Source organism: Homo sapiens, chromosome 14, assembly GCF_000001405.40.
Source record: "Homo sapiens chromosome 14, GRCh38.p14 Primary Assembly".
Classification (NCBI taxonomy): Eukaryota; Metazoa; Chordata; class Mammalia; order Primates; family Hominidae; genus Homo; species Homo sapiens.
Window position 1 is genome coordinate 101,005,777 of NC_000014.9, and position 13,605 is coordinate 101,019,381.

Sequence of the window (13,605 nt, forward strand, 5' to 3'; positions counted from 1 at the left end):
CCGGGCACTTGCCATGCAGAGCAGTGACCAAGGATCACAGATGCAGTGGGCCGGGGGGGGATGGCAGAAAACAAAGGGTTAGGGTACCCGGATGCCAGGTTCTCAGTGCTGGTGTCCTCACAACTGGCTATCCCTATGCCCCTGCTGTCCTCAGTGGGTGGACACTGGACCTGGACTGACCCCTGGGACAGGAGGATTCAAGGTGTCTTGTTCTCTTTTGATTTCTTTTATCTTTTCTCTGCCAGGAAAGATACTGATCTCTGTTCTTGGTTAAGTTCCAAGAACCATCTAAGTTTCGTGCCCCTCAGCTGTAAAAGGGAAGTACATTTCATTTGTTTATTCTGTAAAACTCTCGGTGTGTGCCATGGCCATGCACTGATGATGAGCACATGTGTGCGGCCCCTGCCCCCGTGGAGCGCATGCATGGTCCTCCAGCCAGAGACCGCGCTGGGAGAAATCAGGGGTTCACTCCTGGTCGGAGGTGAGCATCTGCCTCTGCATGTAGGAAGGCATCTCATGAAACCCCAAAGGCCTGGCAGCCCCTGCACATGGAAGGAGTCACTCTCCTCCATGTGGGGTGAGCCACGCTGGCCTTGTGGCATTCACATGTTCCCTCCACCTGCTTCTCCAGCGTGAAGGGGACCTCAATGTCCTCTGATGACCTTCTTGAAGAGAGACATTTCCTTCCTTCATTGGAGGCTTTAGACGGAGCCAGTGACAGCTCAGCTCTGGCTGTTTCCCATCTGTGAAATGGGAAGAGGGAGGATGGCACGAGTCCCTTGCCCTCACCAAACTGGCCGCTAGAGAGAGGAAAGATGTTTCCATTCTGATCCCCACTCACCTCCACCCCATCCTTCCAGGCTTCTGATCCTCATTGTAATTTTGGAGCTATTTGGTGATATTGTCTTTGTCCTTGGATCCGAGGCTTCTCCTACCAACTCATTGTTTTTTCAACGTGACAAAATAAAAGCCCTGAGCTGGGCGCGGTGGCTCACGCCTGTAATCCCAGCACTTTGGGAGGCCGAGGCAGGTGGATGACGAGGTCAGGAGTTCAAGACCAGCCTGACCAACATGGTGAAACCCCGTCTCTACTAAAAATACAAAAAATTAGCTGGGCATGGTGGCATGCACCTGTAATCCCAGCTACTCAGGAGGCTGAGGCAGGAGAATCGCTTGAACCCGGGAGCCGGAGGTTGCAGTGAGTCGAGATCATGCCACTGCACTCCAGCCTGGGCAACAAGAGTGAGACTCCATCTAAAAAAAAAAAAAAAAAAAAAAAGACAGCCCTGCTCCTGCAGCAGGGACCGAACCCCATCCCTGACAGATGTTTCTGGTATCAGCAACAGCTGGTGACCCCGGCCGGCCCCCTGCCAGCCGGGGCTGCTGGCGGCCGCCCAGAGGGGAGAAAGGCCCTCCTGGGCACACACGGTCCTGCTGCGGGCTCCCTTGCCTCAGCTGCCCACCCCCCAACCCATTGCTGCTGGGCTCCTGGCTTCATTTATTGATGGACTCTCCTGTGGGGTTCTCCGGGGAACCCCAAGCCAGAGTTCAGACTTCATAAGGGGCTGCTTAACTGACACCCTCTGTCACAGGGTTCCCCTGTCCTCCTCTGCGACCCTGGCCCCTGGCCCACTCATTTGCGCGCAGCTGTGCTCTACATTCCCACCCCCTGCTCCCTGCAAAACCCCACTGCCCTGCAGGCTACAAATCCAAAGATTGGGTGCTCATCAGAGTTGGAGAAGCCATATTGGAGGGGAGGGGTCCCAAAGGTAGCAGCAACCCCTTTAAAGCCATGGAGTTGGGTGCCAAGGGCCACCCGGGGCCCTCTGGTCCCCTGCTGCTGCATTAAAGGTCTCCTGGCTTCTTCTCCTTCCAGGCTTCCTCCTTGCCATCCTTTCTCGGGGACTGTGGCTTGGTCATGATGTGTGGCCTGGGTTTGGATTTGTATTGTGAGGAAGAGGAGACAGAGTGGGGTGTGTCACAAAGGCTGAGATGAGCAGGAAATCAAGCCTTGCTAGTTGGTTTTCTGGAGTGGAATTGAGCCTTAAGAAATGAGATTTGTGAGGGCCAGGTGTGGTGGCTCATGCCTGTAATCCCGGTGCTTTGGGAGACCAGGTGGGAGGCTAGCTTGAGGCCGAGAGACCAGCCTGGGTAACATAGCAAGACCCAGTCTCTACAAAAAATAAAAAGATGAGCTGGGTGTGTTGGTGCATGCCTGCGGTCCCAGCTACTCAGGAGTCTGAGGTGGGAGGATCTCTGGGGTCCTTGGGATGCCCCCCTACCCCCACATCTAGCGTGGCTTTGTGCCACTGCACTCCAGCCTGGGTGATAGAGCAAGGTCCTATCTCTAAGAAAAGAAGAAAGAAAAAAAAATGAGGCATGTGAGCTGGAAACAAGGGAAGCAGAGGTGCTTCATGTTCCCCAGCGCAACCCCGCATGACCCCCCAGGGAGCTGTCCCTCCTTCCCTGCTTCCCTGACATGGGTGGCGTCTGTGCTGCCACACTGGCCACTTTGCTGAAGCCTGCCAGTGTTGCCGGCGGAGGGGGGGTTGCGGTGCCACTTGCCTTCTTTACAGAGAAGGAAACTGAGGCTCAGATGAGTGCAGACAGCCCAAGCCTGTATCAAGTCTGGGGCGCATCTCACATCCCCACACCTGCCTCCAGTACTGCTCACCGCACCCGGGACACACAGGTAGGGGTTTGAAGCAGAAGCTGGCAGCGGCTCTGTCTGCAGAGGCTGGTTGCCTTGTCTCGCACCTGTGGGCTTGGGTCAGGGCCTCTTTCACGTGAAGGTTTCCATCCCGAGAGCACTGCAGCACATGTTCATGGTTTGCTCATCAGGACGAAAGAACTTACAAAACTTTCCTGTCCAAGTTGACCAACTTGGTGATTTTTCATAAAGCCCCGCAGCAAGGCATCTGGAAAGCTCCTTTCCTGCTCCTGACAGTCACCCCGAACGGCATGTTTCCAAATCCACAGAACATATGGGCTGCAGAGCTCAGAGCCTTGCTCCTGGCCCAGCCAACAGGATGCTCTCTTCTTTCCCTGGCGTGGGTACAGGGGCCACTCTCAGCTGCCTGGGCTTGCCCCCAGCCCTAGAGCCTTGCCTTTGGTACCCACTCGCTTGCCTCCAAATTCCTGCGTCCATGACCTCAGGGACAGCCCCCCTTGGTGCTCATCTGTTATGAATACCAGCCCATTTTTTTCCCAGCAAGGAAAGCCTGGCTGAGTCAGTTCCTGGGCCAAGATTGGCATGGAAGGAACTCTACTGATAGGAGCAGGCAGTGAGCATGCAAAGCACAGCTCCTAAACCCAGGGTCAGGTCATAGCCAGTGGCTGTCAGAGCCTCAGATGGAAGAGCCAGCGGGAAGCCCCCGGCCCACCTGGCTGTATGGGACATTGACCCGGCACAGGGAGAAGACCCAGGGGGATGTAAGTTAGTTACTCTTCTAGCTCTGGGTTGGAGGCTGGGCTTATGCATGGGCACTGAATCCTTAAAAAGTTAAATGAAGATACTAAAATAGAGCCACTCATGGACTCATGTTGATTGGTGTCAGAATAAAGACTATAATCAGTCCAATTCTGTGTATATTTCAGTTTGAGGACAATGATAGTAATAACAAAATATAGCAATAACTTGACTGGTCTAAACCTCAGTGCATTGCTCTACTTGGCCAAACCTATATACCCCCCTTCCCCCATGTTCCTTTATCTCAATGAATGGCCTCAGTAATCCTGAAACCAAGGTCGGCTGCATCTTCTTCCTCCCTGCACCCTCCAGGAGCAATCCATCAGTAAGTCCTATCAGCGTGACACCGTGAATGCCTCTCCTCCTCGCTTCCTTCCAGTTGCCCCTGCCTGGTCACAGGCCTCATCCTCCCTCTCTGGCCCAATTGGATGCCCTCTGCTTGCTTGCCTCGTCTCTGACTGTATCCTGTGGGTGACATGCATGCATACCCGGTACCACTTAAACCCCCCATGGGCTCCAGGGGCCCCACTTGTGGTGTACCAAGCCACTCTATCCCCTTGGCCCTGTGTCCCTTCCTTTTCCTCTCTTGCTCCAGCCTTACTTGTAATTCTTCAGTTCACACCTCCATCATGTCTGTGAGTCTCAAGATCTCCTAGCCCTTCTCCAGACCTGTTCAAGACACCCCTAGCCCTTCTCCAGACCTGTTCAAGACACCCCTAGCCCTTCTCCAGACCTGTTCAAGTGCCCCTTTCATCACTCCCCATGTGCAGTTCCATAGTTGTCCATTTCACATTGACTTCCATGTATCTGGAGGGCAGGAGCCAGCTCTGACCCAACTTGCCATTCCCAAAGTACCCTCTCAGTGAATGTGGATGGGTCCCCCTGCCTTGTTAATAAGTCATGTGATTGAGCAGATTGTGTGACTTGCCCCTCTTGTCTTGGAAGGTCATCCTGCCCAGAGCTTGTGAAGGTGCAGTGGCCTGAGCCAGGCTTCCAAGAGGACAACCGTGATGGGCTCTGTGTGCGTTGCTGGGTGAGCTCTGCCTTTCCTGGTTACACTCTGAAATACTTGTGTACCTGTGACTAAGGGCCAAACTCAGACTAGATGATAGGTGATCAAAGATGGGCTTTGTGACAGGCTGGAGTGCCTGCGATGGCCTCAGACAGGGGCTGGAATGCATGTGCTTCTCACCAAGAACATTAGCAAGCAGAGGCTGGGTCATTTCTGACAGCTGCTTCTCTGAGCGGAGGGCAGGGCTGGCTAGAGAAGTCCCTCATCTCTGGTCCCACCTAAGTGGTGGGAGGCGTGTTACTTTGCAGCTGACCAGATGCCAGCTTGAGATGGGGCTCAGAGTAACCTTCACATCCCTGCCCGAAGGCTCTTTTAAAAATTACGTAGCTAATTGCATTCTATTAACTTATTACCGTAATGGAGAGTGCAATAAGCAGGGGCCATGTACGTTTTCCCCATAAAATAACCTAAGCTAATGGCTAACATTTATTGCACCTAATTTTTACAAATATTTTTCCCATTAAAAAAGAAATACATGTTTATTATAAAAAGCTTGAAAAATATTGAACAGAACAAGTGTAAGAGCAAGACTCTCCCTAGTTCCCCCACTCACAGATCACCATTGCCAACATTTTGGTGGCCAGCCTCCGCCTTTTGTTTTTTTTCTATAAATTAGGTGTGTACGTGTCTGTGTGTGCTTAATTGAGTTTATCATTGCCATCCTGTCTTTTATTTCCACTAATTATATATCCTGAACATTTCCCATGCCATTAAGCAATTCCTTATCTTGTGCTTTTTAATGGTTACATAGGATTCTAGCAAATGGCTATATTGTAATTAATTTAATTGGTTTGCTTTTATTGAATATTTAGATCCATTTAGAGGTTGGATTGCATAAGTCTGGGAGGACATCTTTGTTTATTCATTGTCATATACATGTCTGGCTCATTTTCTGCAGTTCATTCTAAATGTGGAATGTCGTGTCAAAAGGTGTGATCATTTTATGGCCAAATTGCCCTCTTAAAGCTTGTATCAACTTACGTTCTCAGAATTAGTTTGAGAGGTACTTATTTCTCTGGGAATTATCAAGGTTGTTCACCTTTGCCAATTTGTCAAAACACAGTATTTCGTTCTTTTCATTGGCAGTTCTTTTATTACCTGTGATAAAAAAAAACATTTCCCCCGATCTCTTTTGGTTATCTGTATCTGAATTGCCAGTTCAGGTTTTTTTCATTTTTCATTTAGTTTTTATTTTTGTCGAAGTCATGCATATGCATCGTTTTAAGAGTCAGATAGTTCTACATGATCGTTGTAGAGCATCAGGCCTCCAACTCTCCCAACTCCACCCTAATATTCTGCTTAATGGAAGCAATAGTTTTTAACTCCTTTAACTATTCTCTTGACATTTACATCCATATGTTTAAGTAACATTGTTTTTCTCTTCTACTTCTTGATTTTCTTTTTCTTTTTTGAGGCTTAGGCATTATCGTGACTTTACAACTGTAGAAGATGAGGATTTGACTCCTTGGCCTCACCGCCCCCTCCTCCCTTCCTTCTGTGCACCATCCTCAATATATTTAGTACATAGTTCGGGTTTGATCCAAATTGAGAGTTCATCTTTTTATGAGAGTGTAAGCATTCCTGAAATCTGAGCAACACAGCACTACAATTTACCTTTCCTTCATGACTATTATTTTTCTCTTGGAGTTAATACTTGTATTTTTTTCTCTTTGATTGGTTAATTTTTTTTAGGAGCCTAGCTGATTTATCCCTAGCCTCTCAATATATTCAAACACATTATTTTTAATTTTTTAAAAGATATGTTTTATCCTATCTAGAAGTATCTTCCTAGAGCCTTCTGGCTGGTTTTGTTATGAACTGGGTAATCTTTAGGGTTCTGGATACCATCTTGGAATCTCTTTCACATTCTCCTTCTGAGGATTCCTTTGATCCTCTCTCCTTAGCTGGATTTTGTAGATTACCTACTTTTGTAGATTCCATGTTTTCATTCTTTTTGATTTACTCCTTTGTTTTGCTAGAGTGCATCCTCTAGCAGTTTCTGTAGAAATGCTTAATGGAAGGTAAATTTTTAGAGATCTTTCACATCTAAAAAGGAAAATGTCTAGCCCACACTGACATTGAAAGGTTGGCTGGGTATAGAATTCGAAGTTGGAAACCTTTGTTTATTTTGGCTCAGATTTTGAAAGCACAAATCATTATCTTGTGGCTTTCAGTGTTATTGGTGAGATGTCTTAAGTCTTTGTGATTCCTCATCCCTTCTATGTGATTTTTTTTTCTTCCTTTCTGGAACTTGTAGAACTTTCTCATTGTCTTCCAGTGTTTTAAAATTTCATGTGTTTGTGTCTTGATGTGTATCTATGTTTATCCATTTTTCCAGGTTCTTTTAACCTTGAAGATACTTGTCCTTCAGTTCTAGAAACTTGTCTTGAACAACTGGTTGGATCATTTCCTCACATTTGTTTTCTCTTCTTAGCATTTTCTTTTCTTTTCTTTCTCTTTTCTTTCTTTCTTTCTTTTTTTTTTTTTTTGATGGAGTTTCACTCTGTTGCCCAGGCAGGAGTGTAGTGGCATGATCTTGGCCCACTGCAACCTCTGCCTCCTAGTCTCAAGCAATTCTCCTGCCTCAGCCTCCCAAGTAGCTAGGATTACAGGCGTGTGCCACCACGCCTGGCTAATATGTGTATTTTTGGTAGAGATGGGGTTTCATCATGTTGGCCAGGCTGGTCTTGAACTCCTGACCTCAAGTGATCCACCCACCTTGGCCTCCCAAAGTGCTGGGATTACAGGCATGAGCCACCGTGCCCAGCCTCTCTCTTCCTAGCATTTCTATTGTTTGTATGTTGGAACTCCTGACTAGTTTTGTAATATTCCCATATTTTTCCTTTGATTTTCAACTTTTAATATTCATGTTCTGTTTCTAAGAAGGATTTCCCTATCTTTATGTTTTAACTTATTTTCATTTCTGCTTTCATATTTCTAATTTTTAATTTTTAAATTATATTCTAAATATTATATAACAATTTGTTTTATGAATGCAATTGCTTCTTTAATATCTCTGATAATATTAATAATAGGTCTTTTGAAACTTTTTTCTCCCTGCAGAGCAGGCAAGCTTTGTTCAGTTTACCACTTAGAACTGGAAATCGTTTACCCATGTTGCTCTGTAGGTGTGTTCATTTTTAATTTTGATTTTGTAAGGCCTTTTTAACAAGAATAGTAACTCTTTTTATATCATATGTTACCAGGATCCCCCACTTTTTCATCTGCCATTTCATTTTGTTGATAAATTATTTTTTATTTTAAAAATTACTATGTTCTAAAAATTTATCTTTAATTTTTCCTTACAGTTTCTTCACTTGAATTTTTCTTTTAGCTCAGAAAGTCCTTTCCCAAACTGAACTTTAATTTTTTTTTTAGTTCTTTCATGATTTCATCTTTTATATTTGAATCTTTACTTATCATCTTAATTATTGTGAGAAATAACTATTTGTTCCACTTCCACATTTAATACATGCTAGATACTTTTATAGCTCGGGTTCTTGTTCTGGTTTTCTATTATCCATTGCTTTGTCATTGCTTTATTTTAGTATATTGTATTGTTAAAATGTGTTATTACTCAGTAGCAATAGTCTTCCTTAATTCTTATTTTTCAAGATTTTCTCCGTTAGTCTTATTTGTATATTCTTTCAGATGAACTGTAGTGATATTGTAAAGTTAAAAACATTCTTTATGGATATTGTGTGGAACCTTATAAAACTGTCAATTAATTTAAAGAGAGTTGATATTTTTTGAAACAGGCTTTGCATGATATTTTGAGTTTTATGTATACATATATATTCATAAGTTGTCAAATTCGACAGATTCACAATTTGTTATTTTTATCTCAAGGAATTAAGTATGGCTTCTATTGTGAATTTGATCCACTTTCTTTATATTTTCTAACTGGTTGTTATTGGTATGTAGGGAAATGTCTGTATATTTATTGTTACTGTTCATCTCACTGAATTCTCTAATTTGTTCTACAAGTTTCTAGTTGAGTGTTTTGGAACTTCTAGGTAAAGAGTCATTCATGGCTGGGCATGGTGGCTAACGCCTGTAATCCCAGCACTTTGGGAGGCCCAGGTGGGCGGATCACCTGAGGTCAGGAGTTCGAGACCAGCCTGCCCAACATGGCGAAACCCTGGCTCTACCAAAAATACAAAAAACTTAGCTGGGCATGGTGGTGGGTGCCTGTAATCCCAGCTACTCAGGAGGCTGAGGCAGGAGAATTGCTTGAACCCGGGAGGCGGAGGTTGCAGTGAGCCGAGATTGTGCCACTGGACTCCAGCCTGGGTGACAAGAGCGAAACTCCATGTCAAAAAAAAAGGGTCATTCATATCTATATATAATGCAATTTTTGTCTGTCACTTTATCTCATCTATTTCTTTTCCTTTGACTAGATCTTCTAAAACATTATATTATTGATAACAGAAATCTTGTCTTGTTTCTGGTTCACTTTTAAGTATGGTTGCAAATCATTTTTTAGTTGAGATTTTTTAAATAAATGAAGTATTTATACCTAGTTAATATAAGACTTTAAATCAGGATTGGAGTTAGAATTTTATGAAATGCTTTTTTGATATCTGCAGATATCATGTTGTTTTTCTCTGTTGATCTGTTGATACAATAAGCTAATGTTTCGTAACTTTGAAACATTTTTGATTGAATTCTACTTGATTATGGTGTATTGTTGTTTTAATACACTACAAGATTTGCTGGGCTAATATTTCATTTAGAATTTTCCAAATCTATTTGTTGTTGAATTTGGGTGTCAAAGTTATGCTGACTTTGTAAAATAAATTAGGGAACATTCCATCTTTTTCTATGTTCTGTACCATATATGCATTATTTGAATGATTTAGTCCACGAAAGCTTGAAAGAACTCACGTATGTAACTATCCTGGGATAAGTCTTTGGTAACGTCTCTTATTTCTTCTGTATTTATTGGATTCTTTAGGTTTTCTACGTCTTTAGAATTTTTGCTTCTTTTTCTAACATAGCTCAGCGTTTAAATGCGCAGGCACTGGAATTAGACAAATCCAGTTTAAGATTTTGGCTCTCTCATTTTCCATATGATGGGGAAACTGTGTCACCTCCCTAGTTCTTAGTTTCCTCACCTGTTAAATGGTTAAAACGAAAGCCTCCGAGGGCCCTAACAGGACCAGCGTGAGGATTCAGAGATAAAGTACCTTGCACTGGTTCTGGCACATAATGAGTGCTCAATAATGTTTTTAGATATTATTTATCCTAGAAAATAATAGATTTTTCTGAGATTTAAAAACTTATTCACATAGGATTATAAATAGTATTTTTATACTAGAATTTTAATGTATTTCTATGATTACTTCACTTTTGTCATTCTTAATTTTGTATGTGCATACTTTATCTCTTTTTCATTAGATGACCTAGAAGAATATCTATTTTAGAGGTTTCTCAAAGAATCTGTTCTTGGGATAACTTGTCAGTTCAACTGGTTTTTGTGTGCCTGTGTTCAAATTAAATAATATCTGTCTTTATTGATTTCTTTCTTCTGCTTTCTTTAAGTTTGTTTTATGGATTTGTCCATATATGCCCTATTGTTATTCTTCTTTAATAATGAAAATATTTCATGGTATGAACTTGCTTCTGTTCACAATTTTGACTGCATTTTCATGTGTCTTAATATGTGGTCTTCAGAACATTAAAATATTTGTTATAAGGCTTCTTGTTTCTTCTTGTTATTGGAAGAAATGATTATCTGAGTTAAATGTTCAAAACTAGAGCTGATTTTAAAAAATTAATTTCTAATTTTTTAAAGTTGTAAGTTGTTTATACTTTTAATTCAATTGTGGTTATCTTTTATTGTGGCTTGAGAATGTGGACACATACATTCTACTTTGGGGGAATTTATTGATGCCTTTTTTGTGCATAATATAATTGATTTTGTAAATGATTTTTGTGGACATTTAAAAGTAGGATGTACTTGTTTATAAGGTATGGATTTTGATGTAAAGACATTTAGTTTTATTAGCTTTTTAGTCTTTATTTGGATTTTCTTAGTAAAGAATTACATAATCTATAAGCAACCGTATTTTGAATCTCAATCTAAGAGTTTACTGGATGTACCTGGTTTTTGTTTGTTTCATTACATTGGTTGGAACTTTTTGGACGGTGACCTAATGTTGATGAGATGAAGGGGCTTCTTTCCTGTTTTTCTCATGTTCTGTTAAGTTTGTTGTTGCTTCTAGATTTGAGGTATGTTCATCACTGACTTCTTACTTATTTGATATTTTTAGGACTGGAAGAGTTTTGGATACGATGTTTCTATTCTTTTTCCTTGTTTTGGTGCTATTTTATTTCTAATGCAAATGTTCATGAATGCTATGTCATTGTTGTGGATTATACCTTCCCCCTCAGAGAGGTGTTTAATGACCTGAAATCACAGAAGCACATCTGTTTTCTTTTCATTTGTGTTCCTAAGCTAGGTAGCCTCACTTTCTCATGTAATTGTTTCTGCAAAGTGTTGTTTGAAAGTTGAACTGGAGACTTGCATGTTCCAAAGAATTTTGCTCCTCGAGAGCTCAATCTTCCAGGCAATTTCTAACATTCCATGGATGTTCTTTAGTTTTGTTCTTTTCAAACACTCAGTCGACTGCCTTAAATTCAATTATCAAGGCCAAGGACTGGCCACGTTGGGTCCGCCTAACGATGTCCATGTTTATACTAATTTCTTAAGTATATAGGAGATCGGTGCTCTTACCACAGGTATCAGCAACTTTGTTTTTCCATTTTCCACTTATTTATAAAACAATGGGAGCAAAATGTAATTAAATACTTGCTTTCAAAGGCAGCCAAACCCTTTATTCAGACCAAATATTACCCAGAAGCCCCATAAGTAAAATAGATCAAGTCAGGGCTGCCTTGTTTCAGGGCTGTGCTGTGACCCCAAGCTGTTGGTGCTGGGCACCCTCCTTAAAATGCTATGGGGGACCCCAAATGCCCCTGAGAATACCCTTTGAAAGCCTCTGCAAAGAAATATTTAAAATTGCACAAGCAAACTGAAAAAAAATGGCTATGTAGGCAAAACTGGGGGTGCCATTGACTGCTTGCTGGCAGTCAGCTTCTGTCTGCATTCCGTGGTTTGGAGGATGTCAGTGCATGATTGTGTGGGCTGCCTGGGATTCCAGTGCATGGAAATTGAGGCCATCCTATTTATCTGTGCCATCCCTCAACTTTGAATTTTCTTGAGTTAATTTATTTAAATTGTGTCTCAGATAGAAAACATATAGTTTCAGTTGGAGTCTTTTGACCCAAACTGAGCATTCTTTTTGGAAAGGATGTGTAACCCATTTACGTTTTGTGTCTTATTTGTCATGTTTGCGCTTAAAAACAAAAATGTACTTAATGCTTGTTTTATTTTTTTCACCCTTTTTTCCCTGCTATCTTTTGTTATCTCACAGAGACTACATTTTTTTTAAATTTTAATTTTCTCTGTGATTTGGAAAGTACATAACCAGCTTCTATGTCTGTTAGTGCTTACATTTCAATTTTTGAAAAACTACGCTTACATCTATTATTTCTCTATGGTAACAAATGAAATAGTATTCTCTGACTTTGCCCTTTGTGGAATAATTAAGTTTCATATTCATCTGCTTCCTCCCTTTCCTCCCACTGTTACGCCCTCCCAAACGCTAAGGAAGGTGTTGAGTTTTATCCCTGCCTTCTCTACTCACCATCCCCCCCAGTCCTGTGCCATGTGCTTTGGGGGGCACAAATGGCCTCTCTCTGCCTCTGTGGTCTGCCCCCCCGCAGTAGGTGGGGCTACTTACTGTTTCTGGACTATAGATCGTGTAGACCTTGAATCCTACCACTTCATGCACTCTGAATTAACTGATCAACGTCATGTGGGTTGAGTATCTGTTTTTCCCTTATCCAGCCTCTGAGCCCCTGGAAGGCAGGAGCACTGAGTCAGTCTCAGCCTCTGCGCAAGGCATGCTAGAAAATGCATCGATGGTTGAGTATCCGAGAGAGTACCTGAGCGAGCCAATGGGAGGATGCGTAGCTGAGGAGCGGATGACTCTGCGGAGGAGTGGGTTCTTCAGGGAGAGGGGTGTGTGCAGGAGTGGATGAATCTGTGCACCTTTGCAAGAAAGGATGGATGAGGGAGTGGAACAGTGACTGGGGTCTGGGGAGTGAGAAGGGTTGCCAGCCATCTGTGGTCAGCAGGAGCTTCCAGGCCCAAGTTTGGTGTGTTGGGAGGCTGGGTGAGAAGGTGGGTCCACCCACCTCTCTAGATACCCAAGAGGCTAGTGGGGACCCAGGCCAATTTCTCCAGGAGGACATGGATGCTTTTGGGGTCTATCTCTTGTACTCCTTCCTTCCTCACCATGCTGTGGCATGCACGGCCTGTGCTGGGAACTAGGGGTACAAAGCTGAGGCCAGCACAGCCCTTTCCTGCCCCAGAGGAGTTCCCATACCAAGGGGGGACCTGAGTGAGTTCCCCACCCGCCCCCCGACTGGAGCCTCCCCCTTGGCTCTTATGTTCTAGTCCCTTTATGTTTAGATACCTCAAGAATCCGCCTTAGCTCCCCTCACCTACCTGCCATCTTCTTGGCGGCTTCTCTGTATCTCACTTCTTTGTGGCTCCCAACCCCACCACTCCACCCAGAGAGCTAGGTACAGATCATCAGGGGCCTCCACCAACTGGCAACTCAGAATCTCCACTCGGATTTCTTGGTGGCACTTCAACTTCAGCACACTTAAAACTAAGTGTGCCCCGCCAGCACGTGGTCCTCATCTAGTGACCCCCAGCTCCAAGAGCGGCCCCACCCTCGGCCAGCTCCCAGGCCAGACACCCGCAGGGACATCCCATGTTTTCTCATGACCCACCATGCCTTGTCCACATCTGGGCTGTTGCCAAGTCTCTTGTGCTCTTCTTCCTAAATATTCGGAAACATGGCCGCTTTCCTGTCTCCATGACTCCTACCATCCTCTCTTTGGGGTTCTGTACTCTTTCTTCCTGCTCCTACTCCCAGCAACATCAGCCAGAGATTTCACATCAGCCAGAGAAATCTTGTAAAAATAG

The 13,605-nt window shown here is 43.4% G+C and overlaps 1 protein-coding gene across 1 annotated transcript in view, besides 1 other annotated feature; it reads left to right on the plus strand.

Annotated features, from left to right (window-relative positions):
• LOC124903407 (mucin-2-like) overlaps nt 61-13,605 on the plus strand; it is a 28,646-nt gene continuing 15,101 nt past the window's right edge. The window contains exons 1-4 of the mRNA XM_047432049.1: nt 61-153; nt 1,593-1,769; nt 1,877-1,973; nt 2,903-3,054. Coding sequence (XP_047288005.1) covers nt 61-153; nt 1,593-1,769; nt 1,877-1,973; nt 2,903-3,054 — 519 coding nt within the window. The remainder of the gene's footprint in view (nt 154-1,592; nt 1,770-1,876; nt 1,974-2,902; nt 3,055-13,605) is intronic.
• Nucleotides 2,868-3,591: an enhancer, noted in NCBI's record as "H3K4me1 hESC enhancer chr14:101474981-101475704 (GRCh37/hg19 assembly coordinates)". NCBI's record gives its function as "activates a minimal SCP1, AML or CMV promoter by ChIP-STARR-seq in naive H9 embryonic stem cells {active_cell/tissue: H9 hESC(naive)}" and the evidence as "EXISTENCE:reporter gene assay evidence [ECO:0000049][PMID:30033119]".